The following is a 21580-nucleotide window of genomic DNA, read 5'->3' as shown; positions in this document are numbered from 1 at the left end:
ATAGAATATCTGCTTATCTCCTTTTCTGTGATGTTAGCAGCCATTCATGATTACTGCTCAGGTCCATTACTTAATTAGGGCTTCAAATATTAATATGCTAATTCTATTAGAATAGTTCTATAAAGAACCACCCCCAACTCCATCAATTATTTAGCTACCCAGAGGTAATTTAGCTTCTAAGCCCTTTGACACAACCCAAGTAGTTACTGATAACTTCTATGAGAAGACATTTGGGCTTATTTAGTACAATTCCTGGAATCAACATTTTCTCTAAGACACTGTGTTTTTTCATAGTCCGAAATAGCATTTAGATACCATAGTCTGAGCAATGGCAGTGTTCACTGCTACTGGCTATATTATCGTTTATAGACTTTGTCTGAAGAAAGAACAGGAAATACACAAATTTTTAAAAATGAAACACATCTTAAATTTGCATTAATATTTCCAGTTCAAATTCAAACTATCTTTTACTTAACCTCTTTGATTCTTTCTCAGCTAGTAAAAATCCCAGTTTCCAATGACACAAGGTAAGAATTTGCTTCCCCCACAGTACATATGTAACAGTGTCTGATATCAACACTATCATCAACAATATGATCGTTGAGAAATGTTTAAGATCTATTTTGCAGCATTTTTTGTCTTCATGATATATCCCAATAGGGACGACAGTCAACTGTTTACAGTACCTTGGAAGAGAATAATTCCTCTTTGTGTTTTTATACCACCAATTTATTTGTAGGCTTTTTGTTTTCATTTTAAGTTTTTAGAGATGGCTTTAAAATTTTTAAATCTGGTTTTTATAATTATGTCCAATCTATAAAATTAGATATATTCAGAGAAGTCCAGCTTTTATTCCTGACTTTTCCCCTCCATTCCTCCTTCCTCTGTAGGTTAATTTTTCTGTTGCTTTTGGTTTATCTTTGCTTTTTTGTAATGCAAGACAGCATATATAACTATGTGTATTCCCTTCCTCTATAACGTACATACATTTGTAACCACCTTACTCTTTTTTACTTAACAATATATCCTGGAGGTCACTCCACAAAAATACACAGAGATATTCCTTGTTCTTTTTTTTTAATCAGTGCAAAATACTCTACCAAAATTTATTCAACCATCTTCTATATAGATGGGCATTTGGGTTGTTTCCAGTCTTTCTTCTTCTTTTTTTTTTTTTTTTTTTTTTGAGATGGAGTCTCGCTCTGTCACCCAGGCTGGAGCGCAGTGGTGCAATCTCGGCTCATTGCAAGCTCCGCCTCCCGGTTTCATGCCATTCTCCTGCCTCAGCCTCCTGAGTAGCTGGGACTACAGGTGCCCGCCACCACGCCTGGCTAATTTTTTTTGTATTTTTAGTAGAGACGAGGTTTCACTGTGTTAGCCAGGATGGTCTCGATCTCCTGACCTCGTGATCCACCTGCCTTGTCCTCCCAAAGTGCTGGGATTACAGGCGTGAACCACCATGCCCGGCGGTTGTTTCCAGTCTTTCAACAAACAGTGCTGCCTTATGCAAAAGTCCTGGCATGAACTTTGTTTGGGAGGTGGAATTGCTGGGTCAAGGGCAGTCTACGTGTACTCTTGCTAGATATTGCCAAATTCCACACCATAGCAACTGTGCATTTTGGATTTCTACTAGCAATAAATGAGAGTGGCTTTTTCTTTTTTCTTTCTTTCTTTTTTTTTTGAGACAGAATCTTGTTCTATTGCCCAGGCTGGAGTGCAATGGCGCGAACTCGGTTCACTGCAACCTCCACCTCCCGGGTTCAAGCGATTCTCCTGCCTCAGCCTCCCAAGTAGCTGAGATTACAGGCACCCACCACCATGCCAGGCTAATTTTCATATTTTTAGTAGAGATGGGGTTTCACCATGTTGGCCAGGCTGCTCTTGAACTCCTGACCTCAGGCGATCCACCCACCTCAGTCTCCCAAAGTGCTGGGATTATCTGCATGAGCCCCCATGCCTGGTCTCTGTTTTCTTTTTATAGAAGCTTTAAATAGATACTGTCTTCCTGTTTTGTTCATTTTATGTGTTTCTACAGACAAGAATACCTTTCAGGAGTCTCAGACGAAGAGCAACCTCTCCTATAAGTACTATGTGGTGTCATTTCATTAATAAATGAAAGCTTTAGGGGAGAGGTGTGTCTTTTGATCATATGACAATCTCTTGCTTCTTTCCTTTTACCATTACCCTGCCATGAGCCATCTGCAGAAAGTGCAATAAGGATTGCTGTCTTCCAGGACATTGTGCTGGGTTTTCAGAAAGTTTCCAGAATCCAGTAGAATGAAGTAGACTGGCTAGAGAAAGTAGGCCTAGGGCATTTAAAAGTATCTGAGCCGGCCGGGCACTGTGACTCATGTCTGTAATCCCAGCACTTTGGGAGGCTGAGTTGGGCAGATCATGACGTCAGGAGTTTGAGACCAGCCTGACCAACATGGTGAAACCCTGTCTCTACTAAAAATAGAAAAATGAGCCAGGCGTGGTGGCACGTGCCTGTAATCCCAGCTACTCAGGAGGCTGAGGCAGGAGACTCACTTGAACCCAGCAGGCGGAGGTTGCAGTGAGCTGAGATTGCGCCATTGCACTCCAGCCTTGGTGACAAAGCAATACTCTGTCTCAATAAATGAATGAATGAATCTGAGCCAGGACAAAGAGTGGAGCACAGGACTCCATGCATAATCCAAGCCGAATATCCCCTCTTCTCCGTGACCCTTTGAGTCTCAGAGAAATGGAGGAATCTCTACACTTCATCTTAAAATTGTAACTCTAGATCAGAGAAACAAAGTGGTTCCAGAGAAGGTGAAATGGGGCCAAGCAAAAAATCATACACACAAGATCAAAATAAACCTAGAGTCTGTACAATTGTACCCACATTAACCATAGACCATATTTTTTGTTCAGGAAAGGGATAAAAAGAAATAGAGGGAAATGTATAACAGCAGACTTATATTAGAATATCTGGAATATAAAAAGAACTCTGAAAAACCAATAAGAAAAATACAGTAAAAAATTCAGCAAAACTTGAACAAGTACTTTACACAAGAAAAAATTCAAATGAGCCAAACAACATAAGGAAAGGTGCTCAACCTCATCAGAAATTAGGAAAATGCGGCCGGGCACGGTGGCTCACGCCTGTAATCCCAGCACTTTGGGAGGTCGAGGCGGGCAGATCACCTGAGGTCAGGAGTTTGAGACCAGCCTGGCCAACATGGTGAAACCCCCGTCTCTACTAAAAATACAAAACTTAGCTGGGTGTGGTAACGCACGCCTGTAATCCCAGCTACTCGGGAGGCTGAGGCAGGAGAATCGCTTGAACCTGAGAGGTGGAGGTTGCAGTGAGCCAAGATCATGCCACTGTACTCTGGCCTGGGAGACAGAGGGAGACTCCATCTCAAAAAAAAAAAAAAAATTAGGAAAATGCATCTTAAAGCCATAATCATATCTAAGTATACAACCATTTGTTTGGCACAAGTTTGAAACTCCAGCAATATCATGGGTTTAATAGGAATAACAGGAGTAATAAGAATTCGCAAACAAAACCAGGATTCTATGTAAATTGGTACCAACACTTTGGAAAATTCTTTGACATTATCAACTAAAATTGAACACGGCATACCATATAACCTAACAATTTCACTTCTGTGCTATATTCTCTCCTCTAAAAATGTGAGCACACGTTTACCAGTATACATGGAAGAGAATATTCAGAGTCAAAAACTGGAAACAAACCAAATGCCCATTTACTGTAGGATGGATAAATACATTATTGTATATTCAATGGCATGCTGGCAGATGTTTAACAACAGGGAGAAAAAGCCCCGATTTGTAGCATTTGCTAATTTCCATGGTGCAAATATACTCATCATGGCTAATTTCAAGCTCCCAACATGACATTAACTAGCTTACAAAATTTGTGAACATTTAACAATCAATGCTCATGAGTCTGTATAAGCTGCCTCCAGCACATCCCTGAGGATATTTTTATGTTGTAATACTGTGTAGCAATAAAAATGAATGAGCTAGGCCAGGCGCAGCAGCTCATACCTGTAATCCCAGCACTTTGAGAGATCAAGGCAGGCAGATCACTTGAGCCCAAGAGTTGAAGACCAACCTGGGCAACATGGCAAAATCCCATCTCTACAAAAGATACAAAAACATTAGCTGTATGTGGTGGCATGTGCCTGTAGTCCCAGTTATTTGGGAGGCTGAGGCAGGAGGACTGCTTGAGCTGAGGAGGCCGAGGCCACAGTGAACCATGATTGTGTCACTGAACTCCAACCTGGGCAACAGAGTTAGACCCTGTCTCAAAACAAAAAAAGAAAAAAAAAATGAACTATAGCTAGATGCAACAGCATGGATAAATCTTACAAATATAATGTTGAGCAAAATAAAACACAAAAGAGGCTGGGTGCAGTGGCTCATGCCTATAATCTCAGCACTTTGGAAGGCCAAGGTGGGTACATTGCTTGAGCTCAGGAGTTTGAAACTAGTCTGGGCAACATGGTGAAACTCCATCTCCACTAAAAATACAAAAATTAGCCAGATATGGTGGTGCATGCCTGTGGTCCCAGCTACTGGGGAGGCTGAGGTGGGAGGATGGCTTGAGCCCAGGAGGAAGAGGTTGCAGTGAGCCAAGGTCATGCCACTGTACTCTAACCTGGGTGACACAGTGAGATCTTGTCTCAAAAAAAAAAAAAATCGCCAAAAAGAATACTTATACTTAGAGTATGATTTCTTTTTTTTTTTTTTTTTTGAGATGGAGTTTTGCTCTTGTTGCCCAGGCTGGAGTGCAATGGCACAATCTCGGCTCACTGCAACCTCTGCCTGCCAGATTCAAGCGATTCTCCTGACTCAGCCTCCTGAGTAGCTGAGATTACAGGCATCCACCACCACATCCAGCTAATTTTTCTATTTTTAGTAGCAACGGGGTTTCACCATATTGACCAGGCTGGTCTAGAACTCCTGCCCTCAGGTGATCCACCCGCCTCGGCCTCCCAAAGTGCTGGGATTACAGGTGTGAGCCAACACGCCTGGCCAATTTCATTTATATAAAGTTCAAGACAGGTGAAATTAAATCAGAACATTTAGGGATGCACACTTATGTGATAAAAAAGAAAAAAAGGTGTAAAAACAATAGCAGAAAAGTGACAAAAGTGGCTAACTAACAGGGAAGAAGATTATAAGGGGCATGCGGTGGACTGCTGGGGTGCAGGTGATGCTCTGTTTCTTGACTTTGGTGGAGTAACATGGGTGTTCTCTTTTACATATTTGTTAGACCTCACACATAGACTGCATGCATCTTTTCGTGTGTGGCTAAAATCCATGGTGTCCTGAATCCTGCTCTTCCTGGCTCATACCAACTTGTGAGAATCAACCATGCACGTCTCCTCCCAACTCTGCATTTAGTTACACTACTTTGTCGCTTGAAATCAGCCACAGTGGGAGGATTTACACCACAGAAATTGGCAAACACAACAAATCAGGACTTTCTGTTTTTTCTTTTTTCTTTCTGGAGAGTGGGTCTAACAACACATCACTGGTTAAATTTAACAACATATTTTTTAAAAATATGACTCACAAAATTGGCTTATTGAAGCAGATATGTTTTCACAGCTTCATGCTGTCAACAATTTTAAGGGAAAACTGTATCTTAAAAACACTAAACATGACAAGATCCCTGCAATGAAAAAGTCTTGACAGTTGAGAAGGAGAATTGGTCGTGAGAAATCTGAAGGGTCTGACATTCTTCGTTGTTCGATGTGTAATAAAAAATCATTACCTTGTTGGTAAAATTAAGGATGCTATCTAGTCACTTTTCTCATAGCAAATGTTCTTGGTGAATACTTTGCAAGATGATAAAAGAGATAGTGGATGAGAAGTTTCTCAGTCTACCGTTCAACTCAACTGCCTCCGTATATTTCCAACCAAGGTGGCCCCAAATGTTATTCTGTAGCAACTCTGGCAGTATTCTGGTCAGCTTTCCTTAGTAATTACCTGTAATAACTTGTGAAGCAGTGAAAAAATTACTTGTTATGTATATAAATCTACTTATTTATGTGAGTCTACATTCTCAAAATTTGGCGACCTTAAGCCAGGGTTATATGATGTCAATCTTTGTTCATTTCAGCTTTCCTGATGGTAAATAATTTAAAACCCTATATTAAAATTTTAAAAAGTAATTAGTTTCCAAGGTGAACCATCATCCTGCAGGGAAAGGTGGGGCTGGTACATGCCTTCTTCAGATCCTGCCTTCAGACGCTGAGGGAGTGCATAGCCCACTCCCTTACGGGTTTTTTTTGGCGGCGGGGGTGGGTTATTTATTTATTTATTTTTAATTTTTTTTATTATACTTTAAGTTCTAGGGTACATATGTACAACATGCAGATTTATTACGTAGGTATACATGTGCCATGTTGGTGTGCTGCACCCATTAACTCGTCATTTACATTAGGTATTTCTCCTAATGCTTTCCCTCCCCCTGCCCCCAACCCCACGACAGGCCCCAGTGTGTGATGCTCCCCACCCTGTGTCCAAGTGTTCTCATTGTTCAATTCCCACCTATGAGTGAGAACATGTGGTGTTTGGTTTTCTGTCCTTGTGATAGTTTGCTCAGAATGATGGTTTCGAGCTTCACCCATGTCCCTACAAAGGACATGAACTCATCCTTTTTTATGGCTGCATAGTATTCCATGGTATATATCTGCCACATTTTCTTAATCTAGTCTATCATTGATGGACATCTGGGTTGGTTCCAAGTCTTTGCTATTGTGAATAGTGCCGCTATAAACATACGTGTGCATGTGTCTTTATAGCAGCATGATTTATAATCCTTTGGGTATGTACCCAGTAATGGGATCGCTGGGTCAGATGGTATTTCTAGTTCTAGATCCTTGCAGAATCGCCACACTGTCCTTCACAATGGTTGAACTAGTTTACAGTCCCACCAACAGTGTAAAAGTGTTCCTATTTCTCCACATCCTCTCCAGCACCTGTTGTTTCCTGACTTTTTAATGATTGCCATTCTAACTGGTGTGAGATGGCATCTCATTGTGGTTTTGATTTGCATTTCTCTGATGGCCAGTGATGATGAGCATTTTTTCATGTGTCTGTTGGCTGCATAAATGTCTTCTTTTGAGAACTGTTTGTTCATATCCTTCACCCACTTTTTGATGGGGTTGTTTGCTTTTTTCTTGTAAATTTGTTTAAGTTCTTTGTAGATTCTGGATATTAGCCCTTTGTCAGATGGGTAGATTGGAAAAATTTTCTTCCATTCTGTAGGTTGCCTGTTCACTCTGATGGTGGTTTCTTTCGCCATGCAGAAGCTCTTTAGTTTAATTAGATCCCATTTGTCTATTTTGGCTTTTGTTGCCTTTGCTTTTGGTGTTTTAGTCATGAAGTCCTTGCCCATGCCTATGTCCTGAATGGTATTGCCTAGGTTTTCTTCTAGGGTTTTTATGGTTTTAGATGGATTTAAGTCTCTAATCCATCTTGAATTAATTTGTGTATAAGGTGTAAGGAAGGGATGCAGTTTCAGCTTCCTACATATGGCTAGTCAGTTTTCCCAGCACCATTTACTAAATAGGGAATCCTTTCCCCATTGCTTGTTTTTGTCAGATTTGTCAAAGATCAGATGGTTGTAGATGTGTGGTATTATTTCTGAGGGCTCTGTTCTGTTTCATTGGTCTATATATCTGTTTTGGTACCAGTACCATGCTGTTTTGGTTACTGTAGGCTTGCAGTATAGCTTGAAGTCAGGTGGCGTGATGCCTCCAGCTTTGTTCTTTTGGCTTGGGATTGTCTTGGCAATGCGGGCTCTTTTTCGGTTCCATATGAACTTTAGTTTTTTCCAATTCTGTGAAGAAAGTCATTGGTAGCTTGATGGGGATGGCATTGAATCTATAAATTACCTTGGGCAGTATGGCCATTTTCATGATATTGATTCTTCCTATACATGAGCAGGGAATGTTCTTCTATTTTTTTGTGTCCTCTTTTATTTCGTTGAGCAGTGGTTTGTAGTTCTCCTTGAAGAGGTCCTTCACATTCCTTGTAAGTTGGATTCCTAGGTATTTTATTCTCTTTGTAGCAATTGTGAATGGAAGTACACTCATGATTTGGCACTCTGTTTGTTATTGATTTATAGGAATGCTTGTGATTTTTGCACATTGATTTTGTATCCTGAGACTTTGCTGAAGTTGTTTATCAGCTTAAGGAGATTTTGGGCTGAGACAGTGGGGTTTTCTACATATACAATCATGTCATCTGCAAACAGGGACAATTTGACTTCCTCTTTTCCTAATTGAATACCCTTTATTGCTTTCCCTTGCCTGATCGCCCTGGCCAGAACTTCCAACACTATGTTGAATAGAAGCGGTGAGAGAGAGAGCATCCCTGTCTGGTGCCAGTTTTCAAAGGGAATGATTCCAGTTTTTGCCCATTCAGTATGATATTGGCTGTGGGTTTGCCAAAAATAGTTCTTATTATTTTGAGATACGTTCCATCAATACCTAGTTTATTGAGAGTTTTTAGCATGGAGGGCTATTGAGTTTTGTTGAAGGCCTTTTCTGCATGTATTGAGATAATCATGTGGCTTTTGTCTTTGGTTCTGTTCATGTGATGGATTACATTTATTGATTTTTGTATGTTGAACCAGCTTGCATCCCAGGGATGAAGCCGACTTGATCGCGGTGGATAAGCTTTTTGATGTGCTGCTGGATTTGGTTTGCCAGTATTTTATTGAGGATTTTCGCATCAATATTCATCAGGGATATTGGTCTAAAATTCCCTTTTTTTGTTGTGTCTCTGTCAGGCTTTGGTATCAGGATGATTCTGGCCTCATAAAATGAGTTAGGGAGGATTCCCTCTTTTTCTATTGATTGGAATAGTTTCAGAAGGAATAGTAACAGCTCCTCTTTGTACCTCTGGTAGAATTCGGCTGTGAATTCTGGTCCTGAACTTTTTTTGGTTGGTAGGCTATTAATTATTCCCTCAATTTCAGAGCCTGTTATTGGTCTATTCAGAGATTCAACTTCTTCCTGATTTAGTCTTGAGAGGGTGTATGTGTCCAGGAATTTATCCATTTCTTCTAGATTTTCTAGTTTATTTGCGTAGAGGTCTTTATAGTATTATCTGATGGTAGTTTTTATTTATCTGGGATCAGTGGTGATATCCCCTTTATCCTTTTTTATTGCATCTATTTGATTTTTCTCTCTTTTCTTCTTTATTAGTCTTACTGGTGGTCTATCAATTTTGTTGATCTTTTCAAAAAACCAGCTCCTGTATTCATTGATTTTTTGAAGGTTTTTTGTGTCTCTATCTCCTTCAGTTCTGCTCTGATCTTAGTTATTTCTTGCCTTCTGCTAGCTTTTGAATTTGTTTGCTCTTGTTTCTCTAGTTCTTTTAATTGTGATGTTAGGGTGTTGATTTTAGATCTTTCCTGCTTTCTCTTGTGGGCATTTAGTGCTATAAATTTCCCTCTGCACACTGCTTTAAACGTGTCCCAGAGATTCTGGTACATTGTGTCTTTGTTCTCATTGATTTCAAAGAACATCTTTATTTCTGCCTTCATTTCGTTATTTACCCAGTAGTCATTCAGGAGCAGGTTGTTCAGTTTCCATGCAGTTGTGCAGTTTTGAGTGAGTTTCTTAATCCTGCGTTCTAATTTGATTGCACTGTGGTCTGAGAGACAATTTGTTGTGATTTCTGTTCTTTTACATTTGCTGAGGAGTGCTTTACTTCAAACTATGTGGTCGATTTTGGAATAAGTGCACATGTGGTACTGAGAAGAATGTATATTCTGTTGCTTTGGGGTGGAGAGTTCTGTAGATGTCTGTTAGATCTGCTTGGTGCAGAGCTGAGTTCAAGTCCTGGATATCCTTGTTAACTTTCTGTCTCGTTGATCTTTCTCATATTGACAGGGGGGTGTTAAAGTCTCCCATTATTATTGTGTGGGAGTCTAAGTCTCTTTGTAGGTCTCTAAGGACTTGCTTTATGAATCTGGGTGCTCCTGTATTGGGTGCATATACATTTAGGATAGTTAGCTCTTCTTGTTGAATTGATTCCTTTACCATTATGTAATGGCCTTCTTTGTCTCTTTTGATCTTTGTTGGTTTGAAGTCCATTTTATCAGAGACTAGGATTGCAATCCCTGGTTTTTTTTGCTTTCCATTTGCTTGGTAGATCTTCCTCCTTTATTTTGAGCCTATGTGTGTCTCTGCACATGAGATGGGTCTCCTGAATACAGCACACTGAAGGGTCTTGACTCTTTATCCAATTTGCCAGTCTGTGTCTTTTAATTGGAGCATTTAGCCCATTTACATTTAAGGTTAATATTGTTGTATGTGAATTTGATCCTGTCATTATGATGTTAGCTGGTTATTTTGCTCGTAGTTGATGCAGTTTCTTCCTAGCATTGATGGTCTTTACAATTTGGCATGTTTTTGCAATGGCTGGTACCGGTTGTTCCTGTCCATGTTTAGTGCTTCCTTCAGGAGCTCTTGTAAGACAGGCCCGGTGGGGACAAAATCTCTCAGCATTTGCTTGTCTGTAAAGGATTTTATTTCTCCTTCACTTATGAAGCTTAGTTTGGCTGGATATTAAATTCTGGATTGAAAATTCTTTTAAGAATGTTGAATATTGGCCCCCACTCTCTTCTGGCTTGTAGAGTTTCTGCCGAGAGATCGGCTGTTAGTCTGATGGGCTCCCCTTCGTGGGTAACTCGACTTTTCTCTCTGGCTGCCCTTAACATTTTTTCCTTCATTTCAAACTTGGTGAATCTGGGGTTGCTCTTCTCAAGGAGTATCTTTGTGGCGTTCTCTGTATTTCCTGAAGTTGAATGTTGGCCTGCCTTGCTAGGTTGGGGAAGTTTTCCTGGATAATATCCTGAAGGGTGTTTTCCAACTTGGTTCCATTCTTCCCGTCACTTTCAGGTACACTAATCAAATGTAGATTTGGTCTTTTCACATAGTCCCATATTTCTTGGAGGCTTTGTTTGTTTCTTTTTACTCTTTTATCTCTAAACTTCTCTTCTTGCTTTATTTCACTAATTTGATCTTCAATCACTGATACCCTTTCTTCCACTTGATCGAATCAGCTAGTGAAGCTTATGCATGTATCACATCGTTCTCGAGCAATGGTTTTCAGCTCCAACAGGTCATTTAAGGTCTTCTCTACACTGTTTATTCTAGTGAGCCATTCATCTAATCTTTTTTCAAAGTTTTTAGCTTCCTTGCAATGGGTTCAAAAATCCTCCTTTAGCTCGGAGAAGTTTGTTATTACCGACCTTCTGAAGTCTACTTCTGTCAGCTCGTCAAAGTCATTCCCTGTCCAGCTTTGTTCCATTGCTGGCAAGGAGCTGCAATCCTTTGGAGGAGAAGAGGCACTCTGGTTTTCAGAATTTTCAGCTTTCCTGCTCTGGTTTCTCCCCATCTTTGTGGTTTTATCTACTTTGGTCTTTGATGCTGGTGACCTACAGATGAGGTTTTGGTGAGGATGTCCTTTTTGTTGATGTTGATGCTATTCCTTTCTGTTTGTTAGTTTTCCTTCTAACAGTCAGGTCCCTCAGCTGCAGGTGTGCTGGAGTTTGCTGGAGGTCCACTCCAGAACCTGTTTACCTGGGTATCACCAGCAGAGGCTCAATTGGAAATGCAGAAATCACCATCTTCTGCGTCGATCACGCTGGGAGCTACAGACGTGAGCTGTTCGTATTTGACCATCTTGGAACGTAGTCTTTTTTTTTTTTTTTTTTTTTTTGAGGCAGTTTCACTCTGTAACCTAGGCTGGAGTGCATGGCATGATCGCAGTTCACTGCAACCTCCACCTTCCGGGTTCAAGCTATTCTCCTGCTTCAGCCTCTGAGTAGCTGGGATTACAGGCACCTGCCACCATGCCCAGCTAATTTTTGTATTTTAAGTAGAGACAGGGTTTCACCATGTTGGCCAGGCTGGTCTCGAACTCCTGACCTCAAGTGATCTGCCCGCCTCGGCCTCCCAAATGTTGGGATTACAGGTGTTAGCCACCATGCCCAGCCCCTTACGTCTTTAGTGGTATTTCAGTGGAGAGGTCTCCACTGCTAGAAAAGGAATCCAATGTAAAAAAAAAAATAATTGTTATCATTTCAGCTAAAATATGAATCTGAAAATGATGGATTTGGCTAGATGTTAATATTTTTATGTATAATCTTGCAGTGTGGAAACTTAACTGGAAAATATCACTTTCATTTAGTAGTGGGGGGTGGATAAGGGGTAGGGGTGGGAGAGGCCCTTTAACTTTTGAATGGCAGCTCCCCTGGTGCTGAGACTTTTGGACTTGGATTAAGCCATGATACCAGCATCCCAGGGTCTCCAGTTTGCAGGTGACCTGTTGTGAGACATCTCAACCTCCATAATCATGTGAGCCAATTCCCCTAATAATCCCCCTCTCGTAGCTCTCTGTTTATATCTCTACATTCTGTTGATTCTATCTCGCTGGAGAACCCTAATTAATACAAATGGAGCCATTTACCTTGAATTGACAGTGAGAGAGGAGGAGGACTGGAAGAAACTAACGTATGAGAAAACTATTTTATAATTGCTAATAATTAGAACGTTGAAATGAGTTCAGAGTGGACAGGTATGAATCTACATACCTGCATATGTATCTACATACAGCTCACTGCAGCCTTAGGTGGTGGCTGTCTCTGTTCTCCAAACTCTCAGCCCCATTTTGCTATCCTACCAGCCTGGCAACCCCCTATTGAAGCCACCCTATGGTTCTTGTTTGGCTGTGGGCTTCCAGGATTCCAGCACTTTTTGATGTTGTCAGGGAGGATTTGATTTATATCAGTGGTAACACAAGGTAAAATAAGCAAAGCATTCATCCATCACCACATTTAATAATCATGTCACCAATGGCAGTTCCACCCCCAAGATATCACAGGGATGACTGTCAAAACATGTTTCTAGGAGTGAGAAGAGAAAGAACGGTGTGTTTCTCTTGGGTTCCATCCCCAACCTCTGCCAGAACCAAACCTAAACCATCTGAAGAAGGGGACCACCTCTTTTAATAAAGAAACCTCCTTTTCCAAGTCTTTTTGTGCGTGCACAAAGGTATTTCTAAATATGAGATTAAAATTGGTTAGCAGCAGGCAACGTTAGGTTGGCTGATATTTATACTAAATTATTCGCAATACAATTGTGGTATGCCATGGTGTGAGGAGGCATTGACATCAAACCACAGGCATTGTTGCTGCAGAATTCGTATTGATATTCTAAGCAATAGGAGAGAAGTATTTCAGAACTAATTTCTGAAATAACTGTGGGAAGTAGATAGCAGTTTATGAGAAATATTTGTGGGGTTCTTTAAAAACCAAAATATACATATTCCAATCTAGCCCTCCATCTCTACCTTCTCAATCAGAATGTCTTGAAGTATGAGACAGGCAACTTTGTTCTGAAAAAGTTGAGTCTGCTATATACCCCTGATTGAGATGTATGTTAAGTAGGAATGCTGACTTACTTAACTGAGATTAAAGGATAATGGAGATGTCTCCCTCATCCTTTCAGCAACTTAGAACATTCAACAAAGCGGCAAGTTGCAGTGGCTCACACCTGAAACCCCAGCGCTTTGGGAAGCCAAAATGGGAGGATTGTTTGAGGAGCTGGAGACTAGCCTGGGCAACACAGGGAGAGCCCATCTCAACAATAGAATACAAAAAAACTAGCTGGGCATGGTGGCGCCCACCTGTAGTCCCAACTACTCAAGAGGCTGAGGCAGGAGGATCACTTGAGCCCAGGAGTTCAAGGCTGCAGTGAGCTATGATTGTGCCACTGCACTCAGCCTGGGGGATAGAGTGAGACCCTGTTTGTCTTTATTTTTATTATTATTATTTTTTGAGACAGAGTCTCACTCTGTCCCCCAGGCTGGAGTGCAGCGGCATAATCTTTGTTCACTGCAACTTCTGCCTCCCGGTTTCAAGTGATTCTCGTGCTTCAGCCTCCCAAGTAGCTAGGATTACAGGCAAGTGCCACCATGCCTAGCTTCCTATCTCTCTTTAAAAAAAAAAAAAAGGCTGCATAGTATTCCATGGTGTAAATGTGCATGAAGCTGGAAACCATCATTCTCAGCAAACTATCGCAAGGACAAAAAACCAAACACCGCATGTTCTCACTCATAGCTGGGAATTGAACAATGAGAACACTTGGACACAGGAAGGGGAACATCACACACTGGGGCCTGTTGTGGGGTTGGGGGATGGGGGAGGGACAGCATTAGGAGATATACCTAATGTAAATGACGAGTTAACGGGTGCAGCACACCAACATGGCACATGTATACATATGTAACAAACCTGCACATTGTGCACATGTACCCTAGAACTTAAAGTATAATAAAATATATATATATATAAAAGAAATAAACATGAAAATACATACATATATATATTAAAAAAAAAAAAAAAGGCCAGGCACAGTGGCTCACACCTATAATCCCAGCACTTTGGGAGGCCAAGACGGGTAGATCACGAGGTCAGGAGATCAAGACCATCCTGGCTAACATGGTGAAACCCCGTCTCTACTAAAAATACAAAAAAAAACCATAGCCAGGCATGGTAGCGGGCACCTGTAGTCCCAGCTACTCGGGAGGGTGAGGCAGGAGAATGGCATGAATCCGGGAGTCGGAGCTTGCAGTGAGCTGAGATAGCGCCACTGCACTCCAGCCTGGGTGAAAGAGCGAGACTCCGTCAAAAAAAAAAGTTGTGGCCAGGTGCGGTGGCTCATGCCTGTAATTATAGCACTTTGGGAGGCCGATGTAGGCAGATCACCTGAGGTCAGGAGTTCAAGACCAACATGGTGCACCTCTGTCTCTACTAAAAATACAAGATTAGCCTGGTGTGGTGGCGGGTGCCTGTGATCCCAGCTACTTGGGAGGCTGAGGCAAAAGAATTGCTTGAACCTGGGAGGTGGAGGTTGCAGTGAACCGAGATGGTGCCATTGCACTCCAGCCAGGGCAACAAGAGCAAAACTCCATCTCAAAAAAAGACTTCTACATGCAGACGACTTCACTGGGTCAGCAGCTGGGTGAGGTGTTGGGTGCTCTCCTGCTAGAAGAACTGAGAAACCACGCAGGTCCATTATAGACTCCCCTGGGGAGCCACACACTCTGATCTCACAGATGTTCCTAATTTAGATTTTCCTTTTCTTAGGCAATACTTGTGCACATGTTTGAGATGAGTAAGAAGAGCATCTCCTCTTCTTCTGTAGGATGTAGTAGACATATGTTGCTCAAAATTCTTTCCCTTAGAAAACCACCCACACCCTGGTCTATTACAATGCTGACTATGTGATCTGGGGATTGGTTCCAGGTCCCACCCCCTCCCCACCACAGACACCAAAATTCAAGGATACTCAAGTCTCTGATGTAAGATGACATAGTATTTGCATATAACCTACACACATACTCCTGTATGCCTTAAATCATCTCTAGATTACTTACAATACCTAATACAATGCCTACACATCTCTTCATTCACATGGATTCAATGTAGTACTCAGTGTGTACAAATTCAAGTTTTGCTTTTTGGAACTTTGTGGAATTCCTTCCCCCCCAAATATTTTAATTTGTTTTTTTTTGAGATGGAGTTTCGCTCTTGTTGCCCAAGCTAGAGTGCAATGGTGTGATAACGGCTCACTGCAACCTCCGCCTCCTGGGTTCATGCCATTCTTCTGCCTCAGCCTCCCAAGTAGCTGGGATTACAGGCGCACACCACCATGCCTGGCTAAGCTTTTTGTATTTTTAGCAGAAATGGGGTTTCACCATGTTAGCCAGGCTGGTCTCGAACTCCTGACCTCAGGTGATCCGCCCGCCTTGGCCTCCCAAAGTGCTGAGATTACAGGCGTGAGCCACCGCACCCAGCTCTCCCCCAAATATGTTCAATCAGCAGTTGGTTGAATTCAGGGATGCGGAATCCATGGATATGGGAGATCTACTGTACCCAATTTCCTTGGGCACAGTGGTTCAGGAGTAGACATGTGACTCAAGCCAGAAAAACCAGTCTTCCCTGTTTTTGTAGGAGAGATTTTCTCTCTTCTACTGGGGTCATAAGCCCTTAGAGCCTTGTGGCCTGAGCCACTAGAGGCCTTCTTGCCGTATATTTGGAAAGACCTGGATGGCGAAAAGAAGAACTAAGAGATGAAGAGAGATCCCTGGATACATCTAAATACAGCCTAAATACATGGACTTTTCAGTGATGTAAACCAATAAATTTATTTTCTCCACTTTGAGTTTGAGTAGGGTTTTTGTCACATGTAACAAAATAATATTATTCTGATTAACATATCTATTACAGTCACCAGATTTATCAAATAAAAATATAGAATGCCTAGTTAAATTTAAATAATGTTTTAGTATAAGTATATCCCACATATTGCATGGGATATGCTAAAAAATTTCATTGATTATTTTCAAATCATATTTAACTTGGCACCCTGTATTAGTTATCTGACAACCCTATCTGGGATACATAATTTCTGTCAACAGTGTTTTAAAATTCCCTGCTCAACTATTCACAATAGCAACAAAGACATGGAATCAACCTAGGTGTCCATCAATGGTAGACTGGATAGAGGAAGTGTGGTATATATACACCATGGAATACTACGCAGCCATAAGAAAGAATGAAATCATGCCCTTTGCGGCAACATGGATGCAGCTGAAGGCCATTATCCTAAACAAATTAACACACGAACAGAAAACCAAACACTGCATGTTCTCACTTTTAAGTAGGAGCTAAATCTTGGGTACATGTGGACATAAAGATGGGAACAGCAGATACTAGGGACTTCAAAAGGAGAGAGGGAGGTCAGGGCTGAAAAATCTCCTACCGGGTACAGTGTTTGCCACCTGGGTGACGGGATCAACAGAACCTCAGTATCACACAATTTACCCTTGTAACAAACCTACACATGTACCCCCTTGAATGTAAAATAAAAATAACAATTTAAAAAAGAAAGAAATCAGGAGTGGCTAGTTTTTCAACATATTCTCAATTCTATCATTCTATATTTTAAAGTTAATTAAAATAATTTTTTTTTTTTTTTTTTGAGATGGAGTCACGCTCTGTCACCCAGGCTAGAGTGCAGTGGTGCGATCTCGGCTCACTGCAAGCTCCGCCTCCCAGGTTCACACCATTCTCCGGCCTCAGCCTCCCGAGTAACTGGTACTACAGGCGCCCACCACCACGCCCGGCTAATTTTTTTTTTGTATTTTTAGTAGAGACGGGGTTTCACCGTGTTAGCCAGGATGGTCTCGATCTCCTGACCTCGTGACCCACCCGCCTTGGCCTCCCAAAGTGTTGGGATTACAGGCGTGAGCCACCGCGCCCGGCCAGATAAATTTTGTTTTATAATTTAAAATAAAATTCCCTGCTTAGAAGACAGCAATCAGCAGGTGGATTTTCCCTTAAAGAACATGGAGAAAAAACAAAGACAGTTTCTGCAGAGCCATAGACAGAAACATCCTAATTAAATCTTTCTTCTCCAGGTCATTCCCGCTTTGAATAAGCCAGATGAGGAAGGTGGGCGCTCTAGGGTCAGGCTATTTAGTCCTCGTCAGATGTATAAATACTTCAGTGACCAGTGGTATCCATTTTTGCTGTACATTAGAATCACCTGCAGAAGCTTAGATATTCCAATGTCCAGGGCGCACCCAGACAGATACAATCAGAACCAGGGGACCACACAGGCGATTCCAGTGTGCAGCCAAGGCTGATACCACTGAGCTAAGCCCTTGAGAAGACTCAGCCAAATTGGAGGAGTTAAAACAAGAAATGAGAAGGGTCCTCCCCTCACCACCTCTCCTCCCTCCCGAACTGGGAGCAGATGGGAAGTAGCGCACAGGTAGGCTGGCTGCTGGGCCACCTTGCTAACCCTGCCACAGGGCTGTGGGCCTTAGCTTCAGGTTTGCCTTCACATAGCCATGTAGCTGGCAGGTGTTTGGGCCACAGAGAAGCAGACAAGGAGGCTCCCTGAGCTCATGGTTGGTGCCAGAATAAACACAGCATCTGGCAGGTTGAATGTGAGTTTCATGCCTGAGCTCAGCTCAGCACAGGGTTCCAGAGCAAAGATGAATTCCCACCAGGAAGCATGGGGGGAAGGAGGGAGGGAGGGATGGGCGAGGCACGGTGGGGAGAATGTGTGCTAGATGGCTTTCTGTGATAACCATGAACAGCTTCTCTTTCTGCTCTCACCAGCCCGCCGCTCAGGCCTGAGAGATCTGCCAGAACACATCCCTCCTGGAGCCAGGTCCTGATTCACGGCTTTTCATTACTGCGTTTCATTCTCAGAGGAATAGACCCTCCTCAGGGCCTCAAAATCACCAACAAGTCTCGAGAGGTTGGCAGGAAGTGCCTCCTCTCCCACGCCTCTCCTTGCCCGCACAGCCTCTGTTCCAGCTCGCCCTCCCCCTTGCTCACCACCATCATGTCCCCGGTGTGCAGGTCAGCACTAGCTAACTATCTCTTGGAGGAATTACTGAGCCAGTGAATGGAACAGGGGCAGCGGCTCTTAACCAGCAGCCCCTGTCAGTCCCAGATCCCGGATGAAGACACCGGATCCCCCCAAACCCTGCGTGTTCTTAATTGGGTCCCCAAAGCCCCCGGCGTTCTGCTAGGCATCCTGAATGCACACAATCAGCCGGCTGAAAGGAAACATCTGCAAGTCTTTCTGATTAAATCGACTTGGAACTCTGCCCCTTGAAGCGGTTATAAAGACTGCTAGTGGCCAGGCATGGCCAAACCTCAAGACTGGTCTGTCCTGGTGTGGGGTGGGCTTCACTGATGCTCAGGCAAGGTCCAGGACAGGCTGGCAGAATCCTGTCCCCGGTGGTGCTAAGTGGGTTCCAGCCATTTCCCAGAAGCCACTGTGGCTCTTCAATGCTAGGATGGGAGGCTCAGCTCAGAACCAAGACCTTTTCAAGTTTAAGGCCTTGAGTGGTCAGCAGGGGAGCAGAGCTTAGACAAAGGGAACAGGAGCTGCAGCTGGGACAGCCAGCACCCACACACCTGGGCTTTGGAAAGAAGTGCCCAGAGGTGAGCGGCATTGGGGGGGATCAGCTGTCTTCATCCATGATCTGGGACTGGCAGAGGCCGGCCGGGTAAGAGCCGCTGCCACCATTCCATCCCCTGACTCAGTAATTCATCCAAAAAATAGTTACCCAATGCTGACCTGTACGTGGGGGACACGATGATGGTGGGCAAAATTGTCACGGTCCCTGCTGCCGTGCCCCTCCCATTCCCACTCCACTATTTAGATTTGTAGCCAAACAGCCAGGGTGAGAAGGGGACAAGAGAACACCTGTTCTTCCTGAACAGGGAAATTAACCTGAAATGATTCCCTAGCACATTCGCTCCACGTGGGAATCTGTGGGAGGACGCTTTTAAGAGCATCACAAGCTAATTCACAGCTATTTTAGGAAACTTTCAAAACCATCTCATTTCCCCTAAGAAAGACTGGTTCACACCCCTTTGTCTCTGGGGTGTGGGGGTGTCTTGCTCTGATCTAACCAAGGTTAATGTCTACAGTCTTCCCCCCTGCAGTGGAGGGGATCACTACTAAAGGGAGGCCCTGCCAGAGAATAGACTCATCTTTCTCTCTCTTTTTTTTTTTTTTTTTGAGGCAGAGTCTTGCTCTGTTGCCCAGGCTGGAGTGCAGCAGCGCGGTCTGGCTCACTGCAACCTCCATCTCCTGGGTTCAAGTGATCCTCCTGCCTCAGCCTCCCAAGTAGCTGGGATTATAGATGCCCGCCACCACACCCAGCTAATTTTTGTATTTTCAGTAGAAACGGGGTTTCGCCATGTTGGCCAGGCTGGTCTCGAACTCCTGACCTCAAGTGATCTGCCCACCTCAGCCTCCCAAAGGGCTGGGATTACAGGTGTGAGCCACTGCGCCCGCCTGTCTTTTTAAGACAATAGAAGTTAGTAGGGGCCAGGAGATCACCTTGGAATCACAGAAATTAGATTTCCTCAAACCAGATGATGGGGAGAAGCCATGGTGGCCTGAAAGAAATGGCCACCCGGTCTTACCTTACAGGTGCAGATTCTGCTGGAACCAGCCCTACTGGGCACTCCTGAGCCGCTTGTCCCTGCTACAGCTGTGACACTGGTAGCTCCAGTCACAGAGGGACTTCCGTTCCATGAGGAGCCTCAGTGGGCGTGCTAGGTGCCAACAGCCCATGCCGAGGGGCTGCTTCCCTGGCTTCACCTGCTTCCAGCCCTCATCTTCAGCCAGAAACTCAGCTGCGCCTCTACCCTAAGACTGGTCTCCCGTTGGAGTGTCCTCCTGCCAGCGGGGGGCGCTGTGGGACCCACGAGAACCGCTCCTCCTTGGCTTGACTGCTCCGTCCGTCCCCAGAGAGGATGAGACTGAAAGAAACTTAACCCAAAGGTGCCATGACATTAGGCTGGAAGTGACACTGAGGTGCTGCTATCTGGCTGGGCAGCTAATCTGATCATTAGCTACTCCCTGTAGCTCACCAAAGCCAGCCTCTGCTTAGATCTCACACCCGTTGGTTGCTGTCAGCAAAAGGAGACAGGCTCAAGGAAGACTGGACTCCCAGTTGAGAATGCACACGGGATAGGGCCTCCTTACTCAGGGCATATGGTCTTGGACTAGCAGCGTCTGCATCTCCTGGGAGCTTCTAGAAATGCAGAATGTCAGGCCCCAGCCCAGATCTGTTGAGTCATAATCTGCATTTTATCAAGATACACAGGTATTTTCCATGTAGGTTTAAGTTTAGAAGCACTGCACTAGCGGACATCCTTGCGCCTCAGTTACCCCGCAGATGGGTCTTTTACTGTGTAAGCATTTTATCTGCATCTCTTCATTTTCTCTCCTCATTTCACTTTTTGCCCTAGGAGGTCACAAGCATCAATCGTCATGCAGACTGGAGCTAGAAAAAGATTGACAATTTCACCATGCCTGCCTTAGCATATGGCTCTTAGGTTAGTATAAGGTTGGTCACCAAGTAATAGGTTTGAGTTTTCAAAACAATCACTAAGAGGTCTGGATATTCATTCCTAAGTCCTTTCCCTCCCACTAGGGGAGTGTCTTCAAGGCATCTTGGTTATGGTCTAGGGTTGTGGAGTGGTTGCCAGGGTTGCCTAATCCCTAAGTATCCCAAGTCTTATCTGAGGATTGATGAAATATATCACATACAAGCCAGACACAGTGGCATGTGCCTGTAATCCCAGCCTCTTGGGAGACAGAGGCAGGAAGATAGCTTGAGTCCAGAAGTTCAAGACGAGCCTGGGCAACATAGCAAGACCCCATCTCTAAAAAAAAAATTGAAAGAAACACAGAAATATATCACATGCATGTATTACTATTACTCAATTATTACAGAGATACAGATGCACTTTAATAATTCATTTTGAAAACTTTTTGCAGTGTCTTTTGTTAGTTCCAATCACTAAGATGCTGTGTTCCATGGAAAGGGGCCATATTCATCAAGAATTTGAGAACCATGGCTCTAGCGGTCTGAAGCTCCAAGCTCCTAAGACTGCCTAACCAAAACAAAGACACTGGTATATATTTTCCATTCATTTATGAGTTTTCAA

The 21580-nt window shown here is 43.2% G+C and overlaps 1 annotated feature.

The window, feature by feature from the left end:
• Positions 18424–18923: an enhancer, noted in NCBI's record as "H3K4me1 hESC enhancer chr10:12891157-12891656 (GRCh37/hg19 assembly coordinates)". NCBI's record gives its function as "activates a minimal SCP1, AML or CMV promoter by ChIP-STARR-seq in naive H9 embryonic stem cells {active_cell/tissue: H9 hESC(naive)}" and the evidence as "EXISTENCE:reporter gene assay evidence [ECO:0000049][PMID:30033119]".

The sequence above is a fragment of the Homo sapiens genome, chromosome 10 (genome assembly GCF_000001405.40).
Source record: "Homo sapiens chromosome 10, GRCh38.p14 Primary Assembly".
Classification (NCBI taxonomy): domain Eukaryota; kingdom Metazoa; phylum Chordata; class Mammalia; order Primates; family Hominidae; genus Homo; species Homo sapiens.
This window is presented reverse-complemented; position numbering and strand designations above follow the sequence as displayed.